Source organism: Homo sapiens, chromosome 8, assembly GCF_000001405.40.
Source record: "Homo sapiens chromosome 8, GRCh38.p14 Primary Assembly".
Taxonomy (NCBI): Eukaryota; Metazoa; Chordata; class Mammalia; order Primates; family Hominidae; genus Homo; species Homo sapiens.
Window position 1 is genome coordinate 133,511,863 of NC_000008.11, and position 15,471 is coordinate 133,527,333.

General features: G+C 49.1%; 1 protein-coding gene across 6 annotated transcripts in view, besides 3 other annotated features; it reads right to left on the reverse strand.

Moving 5' to 3' along the window:
• The window catches only part of ST3GAL1 (ST3 beta-galactoside alpha-2,3-sialyltransferase 1), a 117,040-nt gene that overhangs the window by 57,015 nt on the left and 44,554 nt on the right, over positions 1-15,471 (reverse strand). The window lies entirely within an intron of this gene.
• Positions 11,795-11,964: an enhancer, noted in NCBI's record as "experimental_101228 CRE fragment used in MPRA reporter constructs". NCBI's record gives its function as "activates a minimal promoter by MPRAs in K562 erythroleukemia cells, with activity observed for the non-introgressed 8:134535985 variant allele {active_cell/tissue: K562}" and the evidence as "EXISTENCE:reporter gene assay evidence [ECO:0000049][PMID:34662402]".
• Positions 14,845-14,924: an enhancer, noted in NCBI's record as "active region_28002". NCBI's record gives its function as "activates an Ori minimal core promoter by ATAC-STARR-seq in GM12878 lymphoblastoid cells {active_cell/tissue: GM12878}" and the evidence as "EXISTENCE:reporter gene assay evidence [ECO:0000049][PMID:35858748]".
• Positions 14,945-15,104: an enhancer, noted in NCBI's record as "active region_28003". NCBI's record gives its function as "activates an Ori minimal core promoter by ATAC-STARR-seq in GM12878 lymphoblastoid cells {active_cell/tissue: GM12878}" and the evidence as "EXISTENCE:reporter gene assay evidence [ECO:0000049][PMID:35858748]".

Below are 15,471 nucleotides of genomic sequence, written 5' to 3' on the forward strand. Positions count from 1 at the left end.
CCAACGTGGTGAAACCCCATCTCTACTAAAAATACAAAAAATTAGCTGGGCATGGTGGCATGCACCTGTAGTCCCAGCTATTTGGTAGGCTGAGGCAGGAGGATCGCTTGAACCCGGGAGGCAGAGGTTGCAGTGAGCTGAGAATGAGCCACTGCACTACAGCCTGGCAACAGAGCGAGACTCTGTCTCAAAACAAAACAAAACAAAAATATTAAGAAGAATTGACTCACACCATCACAAGGTAAAGTCCCATGATAGGCCGTCTGCAAGTTGAAAATCAAGGAAACCAGTGGTGGATCAGTATGAGACCCAGAACTTCAAAAGGATGGAAGCCAACAGCACAGCCTTCAGTCTGTGGTCAAAGGCCCAAGAGCCCCTGGCAAATCACTGGTGTAAGTCCAAGAGTCCAAAAGCTGAAGAACTTGGAGTCCGATGTTCGAGGGCAGGAAGCATCCAGCACAGGAGAAAGATGGAGGCCGGAAGACTCAGCCAGTCTACCAGTCTAGTCCTTCCACGTTCCTCTGCCTGCTTTTATCCTAGCCATGCTGGCAGCTGATTAGATGGTGCCCATTCAGATTGAGGGTGGGTCTGCCTCTCCCAGTCCACTGACTCAAAGGTTAATCTCCTTTAGTAACACTCTCAAAGACACCCAAGAACAATACCTTTTATCATTCAATCAAACGAGTTGACAGTCAATATTAAGCATCACACATACCATCATCTCGGAGGCCATTGAAAGGTGAAGGGCCTGTCCCAGGTCCTATGGCCAGCTGTGAGTCTGAGTCCGCACAGGGTTGGTCCAGGCCCGAGCCTGTTTCTCCAGTACGTCATGAGACCAACCAAACTGAGGGTCGGGAGGAGACAGGGAGAACACCCATCTGACCCTCTCACACTCAGAAAACCCTTTGCAAAACCAGCTGGGTTTTTTAGTTTATCATTCAAAGTTATAGGATAGGAAAGTTATATCTTGAATACAGCACTGGGTTTAAGAACATCTTTGAAACAACATTAAAAGAAAAGGGTAGAGGAGCTAAGAGTAAAATTCACATGTGATTCCTTAAGATCAAACCTGACAATCCAGTCTCTGGGAGGGTCCGGATTAGAGGGGAGGAAGGGGCCTGATGGCTTCCATAGAAGGAAGCTGGAGGGTCTCACCTGGGGTCTCACTGGGACTGACGAAGACCAGGTGGTTGGCTGAACATGTCTCTCAAGACACAATGGGCCCAGTGTCCTCAGAGAACACGGTCATCAATGTCAGTGGAAAGAATAAAGATCAGAGGAGAGGCACAGGATGAGGGGACACCCCTCTGGAGTGCTACCCCCACCCCAGCCCTGCTGAAGAGCTCCCCCAGGCCCAGATGCCTCGGCCTTCACTCGTGACTTTGCCCCTGTCTGCAGCAGCGCCCACTCTCGCCTCTTCTCCTGAGAACTAAAGACCTACCGAGATCCAAGGAGATTCCAGTACATCTTCTGTGAGCACTCATCACTGCTGGGGCATTACACTTACATCACTTTTCAGGACTTTTCCTCTTCTCTAGTTTTTTGTTTTTCTTTCATTTAATTTTGGAGTACGGAAGGCCTCCCATATTTATATAGAAGAAAAGACTGAACACATAAGAAATGTGAACGTCTGTGTACACAGTGTCCACGGCTACTTTCGTGCTCCAATGGCACAAACAGATGGTACTGAGATGGCACGGCTCTCAAAGCCTAAAATATTTATTATCTGATTCTTTCTAGAAAAAGGTTTTGGCTGGGCGTAATGGCTCACACCTGTAATCCCAATACTTTGGGAGGCTGAGGCGGGCGGATCACAAGGTCAGGAGTTCAAGACCAGTCTAGCCAACATGGTGAAACCCCATCTCTACTAAAAATACAAAAATAAAAATAGCCAGGCGTGGTGACTTGCGCCTATAATCCCAGCTACTTGGGGGGCTGAGGGAGGAGAATTGCTTGAACCCAGGAGGTGGAGGTTGCAGTGAGCTGAGATTACGCCATTGCACTCCAGCCTGGGTAACAGAGCAAGACTCTGTCTGGAAAAAAAAAAAAAGAAAAGAAAAAATTTTGATCCCTGTGCTAAGAGACTAAATGCCCTGAATGACAGTGCAAACTAAATGGCAAACCAGGAAGCGTATTTTCAGCCCATGTCGGGCACCTGGCTAATATCCATAATAAACACAAAGAGCTCTTGCAAAAACGATCATCACAAATGCACACAACACAAATTTTTTAAAATAGTAGATAAAAGGCAAATCAATATTGAAGAAATGCACACAACCAATAGGCTACAAAGAGTAGTTTTACTTCACTAATAATCAAAGTGACACAGACAACAAAGGTATGTCCTTTCTTACTCATGGGGATCTAAGATTAACACCAATGACCCATCCCTAGTTCATTCTTCATAGGACCATTTCCCACCCAGTACAGCAAGCTCCCTGGCCACAGGCATTGGGTACTATTCATTTTGGCTTTAGGATCACTGCAGGAGCTCAGAATGGACCAGTGTCACAGCTATTTGCTCCCCGTCATATCTCCAGCAAGGAGCCTGGGGTGAGGGCTCCTTCCATGCCATGGAAGAGAATGGAACAGGCAGGAATCAAGAGGGTGAGGGTGGGCTGGGGTTGCCCTGCTCCCAAAGGATCCTGTGCTCCCATCTTACAGCCGCCAGTCCTTTCCTGGGGAGCACCTCTCCTCCACCGCATGCTCTCCTAGTGGGATGGTAAATGCACAGGCTGCCCTCCCACGACAGAAGCAAGGGCTCCCTAGAAGCTCCTCGTACTCCTGCATTCTCAGGCAATGAGATTCCATCCTGGGCCTTGACTTCTGAGCAAATGAGCAAGGCTACAAGGAAGGAGGTGTTCTGCAATCCTGGGGCACTAGGTGGGGAGGGTCAGGGTTCAGACATCACATGGGTCTGCCCGCTAAGACCCTCGAGATCTCCTGGGTTCCTGGTTTTTCCCATCCAGGGTTCTAGGCCTTCAATTCAATCCTGTGGGGGTACTCACAGCTTCCAAGGCAGGAGGGAAGCAACACCACACATTGCCATGTGCCGTCCTCCGATGGCCCCCCGCTCCCCCAGCAGATGCCAAGCCCTCTGGGAAGTCCATCTCCCTCTTGCTGCCCAGACAAACCCTACTCATATTTCACAGCCCAGATGACCTGCCCCTCCCTTCCTGATGATGTCTTTGGGGTGATCCAACTCCCCCACCCTCTGCCAGCTTCTTCATTTTCTGGACCTCTCTGCTCTCCCATCATGGTCCTGGCCTTAGTGGAAAGGCCTGCCTCCGAGGACGAGGTCCTCACTGCCATCTTGCAAGAGAGCTCGCTCCCATGCCACGCCAGGCAGCAGGCCTCCTGGGCCCACACCCTGCTCCTGGCAAGACTTCAGCCCCCTTCTGCTTTGTCCTACTGCTTTCTCCCTTACTCTGTTTCAGTCATGTCAGCTCCTGATATAGTCTGGATATTTGTCCCCTCCAAATCTCACCTTAAAATGTGATCCCCAGTGTTGGAAGTGGGGCCCTGTGGGAGGCATCTGGGTCATGGGGAGCAAATCTCTCATGAACGGCTTGATGTTGTCCTCCGGGTAATGAGTGAGTGCTCACTCTACTAGTTCTCAAGGGTTCTCATTGTTTAAAAGAGCCCCTACGAATGAGGTTTTGACCCAGTAGGCTCTGGCCACCTCCCCTTTTCCATAAAGTTTTTTCTAGAAGTCATGACATTTCTCCTCTTTGATGGAGAAATCTTCTTACTATTACCCTTACCATGAGTTTTCCAGACAAGCAACCTAAAATTAATAATTAGCACAGCTCTCATACTAATTATTATTTTAATCCTAGGCCTAGCCTATGAGTAAGCCCAAAAGAGGTTAGAATGAATTGGTACTCAGTTAAACCAAAACAAATGATTTCAACTCAGTAGATTGTGATAAATCATAATTACCAAATGCCCTCTATTTATATAAATATTATGTTAGCTTTTATTATGTCTATTTTTTTGGTAGGAGGGGACGGTGTCTTGCTCTGTCACCCAGGCTGGAGTGCAGTGCAGTGGTGCGATCTCGGCTCACTGCAACCTCCACCTCCAGGTTTAAGTGATTCTCTTGCCTCAGCCTCCCAGGTAGCTGGGACTACAGGTGCCTATCACCATGCCTGGCTAATTTTTGTACTTTTAATAGAGACAGAGTTTCTACTAAACCCACCAGGCTGGTCTTGAACTCCTGACCTCAGGTGATCCACCCACCTCGGCCTCCCAAAGTGCTGGGATTATAGGCATGAGCCATTGCACTGGTCCTTATTATGCCTTTAATGGGGGTAAGTCTACTGATCCTCCCTGCTATGCCTAGAAGGTATAATTTTATCAATATTTATTATGAGCACTCTCCCCTCTCTCTTGTTCCCTCTCCCTCCATGGGGCATGCCAGCTCCCCTTCTTCTTCTGCCACAACTTGAAGCTTCCTGAGGTCCTCACAAAAAGCAGATGCCAGTGCTATGCTTTTTGTACAGCCTGCAGAATTGTGAGCCAAATAAACTTCACTTCTTTATAAATTACTCACCCTCATGCATTCCTTTACAGCAATGCAGAGAACAGACTAATACACTCCCCATCCATTCTTGGGGAATCAAGCTCATTCCTGCCCCTGGGCCTTTGCACTTGCTGAATTTTCTGGCTCCCTCCTATCATTCCTGTCCCAGCTCAAATGTCATCCTTCAAGGAGGAGGAATATAAGGCCAAAACCAGTTTACATTTCTTTAGCTGTTTTCTTGGCAATTTAGATCCATCCATTCAACCAGAGTCTCACAATAGCTCTGTGAGGCTGGCAGGGCAGCAATTATAAAAGTGGCCAGCCCAATGTCACAGCTAAAACACTGCAAGCTGGAACTGCTTACAACCCTCATAACTCTAAGCCCAGGTTTGTTTCCTAAGTCATGTGCCCGATCACAAAGAAGAATCAACATCCCTCACTGATTATGAGATTTGATAGGCAGGCTCTCTAAGAACACCAGGTCAAGGGCAAAAGGAATGTCGTCAAATCAGACTCCAGGCATCCAGCTGGAGGGACCCTCCAGAAAGAGATAGAGTTGATCTCTGTACCTTCAGGGTGAACATATTAGTTCAGCAAATACACAAACCACTTTCTCTGAGCAGAAGTGACACCTTGGCAGCTTCCTGCCCACTGGCATAAGAGCTGTTTTCCTGCTGATTGGCAGCAGGCTAGAATTTGCCCTGTGCCAAGTTCCTGGTTAGGACTTTATTGAAACCATTATGGGGACGTTTTCAGTAACACAGTGGCTGGACAGTCCCATGGATGAGGGCCAGCAAGCCCCAGTCCTTCTCTGGATTCTGCTGTTCCAAGCTATGTGACCTTGAGCAAGTCCCTGTCCCTTTACTCCTCTAAGCTTTAGTCCCTGCCTTGAATAAAGGTGCTGGGGAAGAGCCCACCAAACTGGTGGATAACTCACCCAGTCTTGCACTTTTTTATTTTTTTATTTTATTATTTTTTTTGAGACAGAGTCTCACTCTCTCACCCAGGCTGGAGTGCAGTGGTGCAATCTCAGTTCACTGCAACCTCTGCCTCCCGGGTTCAAGCGATTCTCCTGCCTCAGCCTCCCAAGTAGCTGGGACTACAGGCGCGTGCCAACCCACTTTGGCTAATTTTGTATTTTTAGTAAAGACAGGGTTTCACCATATTGGTCAGGCTGGTCTTGAACTCCTGACCTCAAGTGATCTGCCTGCTTTGGCCTTCCCAAGTGCTGGGATTACAGGCATGAGCCAACGCGCCCGGCCCAGACTTGGGCACTTTGTGTCCATCATGGTCACTAACTCCCTGGGGACTTCTGGAAAGTCCTTAACTGCTGAGCCTCAGTTTCCCAACCTGTCAAATACTGGGCTAAATCAGAGGTATGAAAACAATTGCCCCACAGGCATGTTTTGTCTGCACTGTAGAGCACAACAAAACTTTGAATTAGGTGCAACAATAATCAGAAAGTTTTACATAAAAATCTAGAGTTCTGGCTACCTTTGAAAAAGGTGGGGAAGATCCAGGAACCCTGAGCTCACATTATCCATAGGACGATCTCACAGAGCTGAGTGGCAGCCATCTCCTTTGGTTGGCACCTAGTCAGTTTTACAATTCACTGCAGACCCCACTGCTCTCTACTGTCTTGCCCAGATGTTTCAACCCATTTGTGTTACCCACGTGGCCCCTGGGGATATATGAAACTGACTCCTGGGCTGAGTGTTCCAACGGTCACCTCTGCTCCTACTGTCCATGACTTGTCTGATATTCACATGCCAACAGATGCTGCCTGCCATCCCCTGGGGCAGTCAGTGGAGGGCTGACCAGCTTGAGGGTGGGTCCTGCAGGGCTGCCTTCCACTGTACTGCTAAGGGAGAGGCCCTGCCTCTGCCAGGATTCCAATCCCCCAGTCAGAACAAAGATGACAGCCTCCAAAATGCACCAATCAGCCACCAGCCATGTGAAGCTCTCTGCTGCAGCTGCAGCCTCCTGTAATTACCTGCCCCGTGTAATAAAGTCCCCATTTAGAAATCTTAGAAAAGATCCTGCAAGGAGAACTTTTTCCTTGATAATTTCCTGATCAGAGAATTTCAGGGTTGGAAAAGACTTTTAAAAGGGCATCTAGAGCAACCCTTCATTTGATGCTTAAATCTTATCCAGCGAGACTGACACATACCAATTAGTCAAGGACTTCAGGTTTGCCCAGCACTGCTGGAAGCTGGGAATACAAAAATGCAGCAAACACAGCCCCACCCAGGAGGACTCCCTAGGCTTGGAGGCTGGTCAGGTAAACATAGTGACAAGCAAGGACTGCAAGGACTCTAAAACCCAAAAGCTACATTTGCTCAGCAGTACTATGCGCCAAACACTTTGAATAAATTATCCCACCTAATTCTCAAGAAAAGTCTTCTAGGAGGTGCTATTTTTAATCCCCAGCTTGCAAGTAAGGATCTGAGGCTCAGAGAGATTAAGGCCCTTGGTTAAGGCCACAGAGCCTGTAGGTGCTGGAGCAGACTCTGATCCCAGCAGTGCAAGGCTCTGGAGGAGAATCTGTAAACACGACCTCAGGCTGCTATTGACAAGGGCAGCCCGTGGAGGGAAGAGAGGAGGCCTGAGATTAGAGCCCCTCGGAGGTGCAAACGTCTGTCTATGTTAAATTCTGAAGGGTAAGCAGAAGAGACATGGAGGTCAGGGTAGGGTAGGGAAAGGGAGGACAGAGGGGCCTGGTGAGGGCAGGCAGGGCAGGCATGAAGGTCTAGGGCCTCATTAGCAATCAGAAATGCAAATAAAAACAGAATAAGACATCTTTGACACCTACTAGCCTGGCAAAAATTAGAAGACACTGTGATGCCAAGAAGGCACAGTGATGCCAAGTGTTAGCAGGCATGTGCAGACACTCATGCCTCATGCCCTGTGAGTGAAAGTGTGGACTCATTAGCCACACTAGCTAATGGAGGTACAGGTGCAAGGACGTACCTGGAGGTACAGAGGCAGGTTACACACAGGCACACCCTAGGCCCCAGCAATTCCATTCCTGGGTAAATACTAGAGCTGTGCAAGCTACTGAGCAAATTCCAGAATGTTCTTATGTATGTTAAAGGAAGATAAATTATGGCTCACAAAGAATTTAAAATAGCATGGGGGAAATGCTTTATTATAATGTCAAGCTGGCATGAGTCAGGAAATAAATGGGATGACAGTAGTCACCTTATCCATAACAGAATTACCTGGGAAGTGTCCGAGAGATACATGCCAGGCACACATTAAGAACTCAGTAAAGGAGGCCGGGCTCGGGAGCGCACGCCTGTAATCCCAGCACTTTGGGAGGCTGAGGTGGGTGGATCACTTGAAGTCAGGAGTTTGAGACCAACCTGGCCAACATAGTGAAACCCCATGTCTACTAAAAAAAAATACAAACATTAGCGGGGCATGATAGCACTTGTCTGTAATCCTAGCTACTTGGGAGGCTGAGGCATAAGAATTGCTTGAACCTGGGAGGCAGAAGCTGCAATGAGCTGAGATTGCACCACTGTGCTCCAGCCTGAGTGAAAGAGTGAGACTCTGTCTCAAAAACAAAACAAAATAAACAAAAAGAACCCAGTAAAGGAATGCGGGCAAGGATTCTTACTTACAAGCATCATATTTTGGGACCTCTGTGCAGGTCTTTACAATCTTCCCCACTCATCATTCTTTCAGCCCACGCATATTTACTGAGCAGCTGCAATGGGCCAGGTAACGTTTGTGGGGGCTAAGTCTACAGCAGGGAACAAAACAGATGAAGGGAGCTGAAATTCTAGGGGAGGCAGAGACTATGCAAAGAAATGAGTGTGTAGAGGTCAGCTGATAGGGAGGAACATAGAGAGGCTGGAGCCGGGGACAACTCGCAGCGGGGTGTGGTGTGCACAACACCTGCCCACACGCTGCTTGGTATATATTCCGTGGTGAATTCCATCTTGCTGGAGGCAGCCCCCTCTTCTGGCACCACAGAAGTTTCTGCGTCTTGACACTTCTGCCTTCAAAATGCTCCTAGTTGTTCCACTTTCAACTGAAACAATTTAGATCATCAGGACTCCTAGAGCTTCTCACAAGTCACTGTGAAAAGCTGTTGGGTATGGGCCCACCTAGGACCTTTCCTGAGCCAGGAGCTCATGGGTTTGGACCCCTGTTCAGCAGAAACATGAATCCCCTGCAGGGAAGCAGGGTCTCTGGCAGCCCACCCCACCATAGCCTCCAGTCTAGAACAAAAGGACATTTGCTTGAGGTATCAAAAGCCTCAAAAAGTGCTCTTTCCTTCTACTGCATACGTAATTCCCCTTTTCGGAGTCTATTCCAGGAAATGGCTCAATGTGCAGTTTTGTGCCCAAAGATGTTTATCATGTTATTTTTTGTGGGTTTTTTTTTTTTTTTTTTGACAGAGTCTCACTTTGTCGTCCAGGCTAAAGTGCTATGGTGCGATTCCAGCTCACTGCAACCTCTGCCTCCCAGGTTCAGGCAATTCTTGTGCCTCAGCCTCCTGAGTAGCTGGGATTACAGGTGTGCACCACCACACCCAGCTAATTTTTGTTTTTGTGGGTTGTTTTTTTTTTTTTTTGAGACAGTCTTGCTCTGTTGCCCAGGCTAGAGTGCAGTGGTGCAATCTTGGCTCACTGCAACCTCCGCTTCCTGGGTTCAAGCAATTTTCCTGCCTCAGCCTCCCAAGTAGCTGGGATTACAGGTGTGCACCACCACACCCAGCTAATTTTTGTTTTTGTGGGTTGTTTTTTTTTTTTTTTGAGACAGTCTTGCTCTGTTGCCCAGGCTAGAGTGCAGTGGTGCAATCTTGGCTCACTGCAACCTCCGCTTCCTGGGTTCAAGCAATTTTCCTGCCTCAGCCTCCCAAGTAGCTGGGATTACAGGTGTGTGCCACCACACCCAGCTAATTTTTGGGGGTTTTTTGAGACGGAATCTTGCTCTATTGCCCAGGCTAGAGTGCAGTGGCGTGATCTCCGCTCACTGTAACCTCCATCTCTTGGGTTCAAGCAATTCTCCTGCCTCAGCCTCCTGAGTAGCTGGGATTACAGGCGCCTGCCACCGTGCCCAGCTAATTTTTGTATTTTTATTAGAGACGGGGTTTCATTATCTTGGCCAGGCTCGTCTCAAACTCCTGACCTCGTGATCCACCCACCTCGGCCTCCCAAAGTGCTGGAATTACAGGCGTGAAACACCGCCCCCAGGCCTATCATGTTATTTTTAATAGCAAAATGTAGAGAGCTCCTCCTGCATGCTCCACATTAAGGAAATTATTAATTAAACCATGATATGTTAAAATATCTGTTACAGGACAGAAGTTTTCAATCATTAATAATGATCATGAAGAATTTTAAATAACACGGAGGAATATCTACTACACTGTTAAATTGGAAACGAAAAGAGAAAAGCATTTCAGAATTATAATTCCAATTTTAGTATATGTTAACCTAGAGGAACCAAAATGCCGTGAAAGAAAACAGTATGAACTACTAAGATAGGTACTTTCTGGGAGAGTGGTTTCTGTAGGATTTTCTGTTTCTGTTTTGAGCTTTTATACTTTTCTCTGTTTTCAGGATTTGTTTCAGTGGTCATGGGTTACTTTTCTGAATGAAACTTCCAAACTTCCAAACAAAACAAAACAAAAACCTTAAAAATGGTGGTGCCTTTATAATCTTCTCCAGCAGCCCAACTCTGGGCAGAAAGCCTCCCAGAAGTCTTTGACGTGAGCACTCCCAAGAGCTATATAGAATGGGGAAGCCATCTAAGATTTAAAATTCTATTCCTAGAAGCTTATACCCAAAGCAGAGAAAAAGTAGGAAGCAATATAGAAAGCTAGCAGGAAGGAAAGTTCAGAGGATGTGGAAAAACGCAGACCCAGCAACATTTTTTAAAAATCTAAAAAAAATTGCAAATGGCTTCCCTGGAATGGTGGCTCAGGACACTGCCCCTAGATGCTGAGGCTCTCCAGGCACAGAAGGTTCCCTGCTTTAATTCAAAGCCCCATCACAGGCACAGTGTGGTTTGATCTCTACCCCTCTGGAAATGTGTTGCAATTCCAAGTCATAGCTGAGGGTCTGAGGCTCAGAGAGGTCAACTGACTTGCCTGAGGCCACACAGCCTGTGTGGGGCAGAGCAGTAAGTGGGACCTTAAGCCTTCTGATCTGACTCTCAGAGTACTTTACCCTGTACCCCAGCTGGTCCAGGGTGCTGAGGCGCTGGCACAGAAAAGCCTACGTTCATATCCAGCAGAGTCACCTGGTGGCCGCAGGGTCTTGCTAGTTAACCCCTGAGAGCCTGGGTTTCATCCAAAAACTGAAGACAAACATAACACTGGCCTAAGGGGCACAGTGTTAAGCACGTGACACTCCACAAGCACACACTAAATGGACACACTAATTACTGTCGTTATTTTGCCACCACTATCCTCCCTGGAGTACAATCCTTCTCTGGCCTCCTGGTGTGCTCCCAACACCCTCACCAGGCGAGGGAAGGGGCTCATCTCACTGTCTCTGTCCCTAGAGCCTAGGGCAGAGAAGGTGCTAAGAAAATGAGCACTGTGGGGAAGAGACAGGGATGAAATCTCTCAAGAAGAGACAGCCTTGCTGGGGGAGACATTCAGCACGGTGTTTCTAAACTTCATGGAGTTTCTGGACAACTGTGCTCAATTCACTTCTAATTTCAAACAGATGGGGCTGCGCTCTGTCACTCCCACCTGGCCCAGGGCCCTGGCGAGCAGCAAGGGGCCTCTCCCTTCTGCCCTGCTGAGAGGGGAGTTGCGTGGCTTCTGGGAGCAGGGGAAGTGGGTCCTAACTCTTCTGTGGGGGGTTGCTAATCTCCCAAACACCACAGAGAACATGGGAGACTGGAGGGTCCAGGTCTCAATTCACAGACACTGCCACACCCCCATGCACACCTCTGTCCTAGCACAAGTCACAAAGGTGTGCAGCTGTTGCTTTCTCCACCCTTAGAAGCAGTACAGAGATTCCACAGCCAAACCACCTGAGCCTCAATCTGGCTCTGCCCACTTTGCTGGGCACCCTCAGGCAAGTAACTCAACCTCCCTGTGCCTTCATTTCCTCCTCTGTAAAGTGAAGATGGTGATGCTTAAAGTGGCAGCTACTTCAAAGGGGCACTGGAAGGATGCATCAGGAGTTCCTGCAGAGCATTTAGAAGGGTCTTATTGCAGATGGAATGGCCACTTGTCCTGCTCTGTGACAAAGCAAAGTCGACTCTCATGGGACTCTCAGGACCTCCCTGGAGGCCTGCAAGAGGTCAGCACCATTCCTAGGTACCAGATTTATGACCAATTGACAAATGTCTGTTGAGCTTCTTGCTGGAGAACAAGTACAAACGGACTGGCAGAAGGCTGGGTATGGGAGCCACAAGGGTCTCTATCCCTCGTCCTCGTCTCTCGAAGTGGGAGTGTATTTTTTCACCCACTGGATGTTGTGACACGCTTTAGCCAATGGAATGTGGGAAGAAGTGTCAAGATGCCAGTTCAGAACCATAATCATAAGAGCTTTGTGTCCTTCGGGGAGCTTCTGACCTCCATTATGAGAAAAACATGCTTCAGGCAGCCTGTGACCCTCCAGTCAGGGCCAACTCAACTCAAAGACTAAGCCAGAACCACCACATGTGACCCACAGACCTATGAAATCTGAATGAATGCTCTTATGCCATTTCATGGTTTTGTTACACAGCAAAAACTGACTGATACACTCTCTCTGCTCAATTGCTCCTATACCTTGACTCTCGCTGGCCCTCTCAGCTCAAGCAAAGCCTGGAACAATAATTAAAAAACCTACCTCTTAAGCTTTTAATGAAGACTGAATGAGCTATTATTACCCCAATTTTTCAGATGAAAATGTGAAACACAAAGGAGTTAAGAACTTGTGCAAGGTCTCCCAGCTAGAAAGTGGTAGAGCCAGGACACAAACCCAGGCATTGTCCCCTAGAGACAGAGCTCTCAACAACCAGGCAACACTACAGCCCCAGGTGAGACCAGCATTTTGCAGGTGAGCAGATCCTGATGTCACAGGATCCTTGGGTGTCACTTTGCCAGCCAGACACCTCTGTGGCCAGCAGCGCCTTCTACCTGAGTATTGCTCATGCCTGCTGGGCTCATGTCACCCACTTGGCCCAACAGGTTGTGCTCAGCTTATGCTACCAGCCTAGATCACACACCTGCTAAGGGCAAGCCAGGCGTGAAGCAGCAAGGGGTGTGTGGGTGAGCTAGCACAGGGTCCAGCCACTGTGCACAGCCAGGTACGCTGGTTGCTGCGACAGGATGGACAGCTCCGGGCACTGGCACAGGTGCCAGCTCCATGTGAGTCTGTGGCTGGACCAGATGTACCACACATGGCTTCTGCTGCAGGCACCCATTTCTGGACCCATGTCTGGATGAAGAAGCAAGACAGCTGCCACATTCCTAAGTAACACATCTAGAAATGTTCTAGGAGAACACGGTGGCACCCGGAAGCTTGGAGACACCAGGAACTGTGCAGTCCCAAAGAAGGTGTCACAGCCCTGGCTTGGGGAGCCCCTAGATCTGGGCTTCCCAACGGGCCACAGCTCTTCTCTCCTTCTTGTCACCTGCAACGTGGTGAATGGAGGGAGGAGGGTGTGTTTCAGCCCTGTTTGTGTTACAGCTCTTTCAGTCCCACCATTCAGCGGGTCCTGAGTTCTTGTACCATGTCCAGGAAGAATGAGGTATGCAGACAACTGGAGGGTGAGCAAGGCAGAGAGGAGCCTCACTGAGTGACAGAACAGCTTTCAGGAGACCTGCAGTGGGTAGCTCGTTTCCACAGGCAGGTCGTCCCAGTGAATGTCAAGCTTTCAGCAGAGAAGACACATAGTGGGTAGCTCCTTTCTGCAGTTAGGTCATCCCAAAGAGTCAAGGAGACCCAGAGTGGGTAGCTCCTTCCTGCAGCTGGTAGTCCTGACACCTACATGTCTGGCTGAGTCCAGGGTTTTTATGGGCTCAGAAGGGAGGAAGTGTGTGCTGATTGGTCCATGGATGGCCATGGATGGGCTTGGATAAAGCACCATAAGTTCTTCCTCTAGGCCATGGACTCCCCCTGGAACTGGCAGCCTGGCCCCCAGGCTTCAGGCTGTCCCTGGGTTGAAGGTGGTGTTTCACCTGGGACCTGCCCCTTTCTGCCCAGGAGCCTGTCTGCCTCCTGCTACCATCAACATGGCATCCACAGCACCCAGGCTGTGCATGCTGAGGGACGCCTGCAGGCCTGCACTGAGCTGCCCTCAGTCTCCTCTTGGCTTCCCTCCTGTGCCTGTCGGTGACCAAAGTCTGGAGGGGGCCAAGATGACAGGGGTCTGGCATGTCAACACCACCCAGAGTACATACACACCCAGCTGGGTTGCGACAGCACCCAGGCTCAGTTTCAACTTTGCTCCAAAAATCAGAGTGGACACTGGGAGTGGTGAGATGCCAGGGAGCGGGAGCAGGCAATTACAAGCCTGCATGACAGGGGGGCTTCCTGGGTCCCCAAGAGCAGAGGGATGCCTGGGTCCAGAGCTGTGGCTAGGTAGCTGCAGCTGTGCCTGGGAGCTCAGGGCTCCTGCCCTGCCAACTTGATAGAAGGCAGGGTTCCCACCTGTTCCTGGTCCCTGCCAGCTCTGTGGAGCATGCAGCCCCAGCTATGCCTCCCCTGCTGCAGCTGGCATCCCCACAGCAGCTGCTCCAGATAGGCCACTGCTGCCATCACTGACAATTCTTTCAGCTCACAAAGGTAGCCATGAATTAGGAAAGTTGGGTCAGGCTCCAGGCAGCCTGCGTTCAGGCAAGCTCAAGAGCTGAGGATGCCCACCTTTGCAAACATGGCAACTCTACCCATCCCTGTGTCTCCTAGACACTAGAGCCCCCACCCTCTGCTATTATTCTACCATACTCATTCCCCAGCCAGAGTCTGGGACCTGGGCTCCTGCAGATAATTCTACATCAAAAACAGGGGAAGTAGAAAAGTTCATGAAGGCTCCTAAGTCTCTCCAACCACCCAGGGCCACAAAATCCATGTAGAGGCCTCATGAAGGGTTTTGTCTAATCAAATAGTTTGCTCCAACCAGCCAGCATCTTTCTTTTGATCTAGATGTCTGTCTCCATAGAAAAGGACATCTATTGAGGGTCAGGGACCTAATGGCTTGTGGGTTCCTGAGATACAATTATGTGTTACGGAGAAACAAAGAAAATTTTGAGACTTTTAGGCAACAGAGAAACCACTGCAAAACCCTGTAATTACAGGGCAAGAAGAAAAAAGTGAGCTGCCACAGTGCCTGGGGTAGAAATAGCCTGACGTTGCTTCCTGGATGGACCTAGAATGTTGCACAAGGTGACGTCAGAGTGGTTGCTTAGAAGAGAGGTCATTGGATGCAGTTTTCCAGCTGAGTACAGTGGGTGGGGTGCACTGTTGTTCCTGGGGCAGAGTGGGCGAGGGAGCTGTGGGGAGAGATGAGGAAGCAGGACAGGAAACCACATTTGCTGAAGGCCAAGGGCTGTGACAGGCAGACACTGAGACATATCGCTGCACTCAGTTCTCAGAACAACTCAGCGAAGTCAGGCCTTGTACCCCTAGTCACTAGACAAGAAAACAGAGGGTCAGAGAGGTGAGGAGACTTGCCCAAGCTCACCTGATCCCTGACCTGACTGATTGAAGGCCCAGGGCACCCATCCATGCTAACTAAGGTGCAAGTTCGTACTGTCACTTCTTTGTGAAGGGGCTGCTCTTTAACAAAGGATAAAATGAGAGGTTGTTCTACTCTGAGGGGAGGGGAGGCAGAGAGAAAGAGGGGAGAGACTTGCCTCTGTTTGCCTACAGGTGCCAAGCCAAAAGAGGGGCTTGAGCTTGTGGAGAAAGCATTGAGTTGGAAATCGAATCACCCAGCTTCAAATTCTGCCTCTACTAATGCCATGTGGTCTGGGGCCAATTACT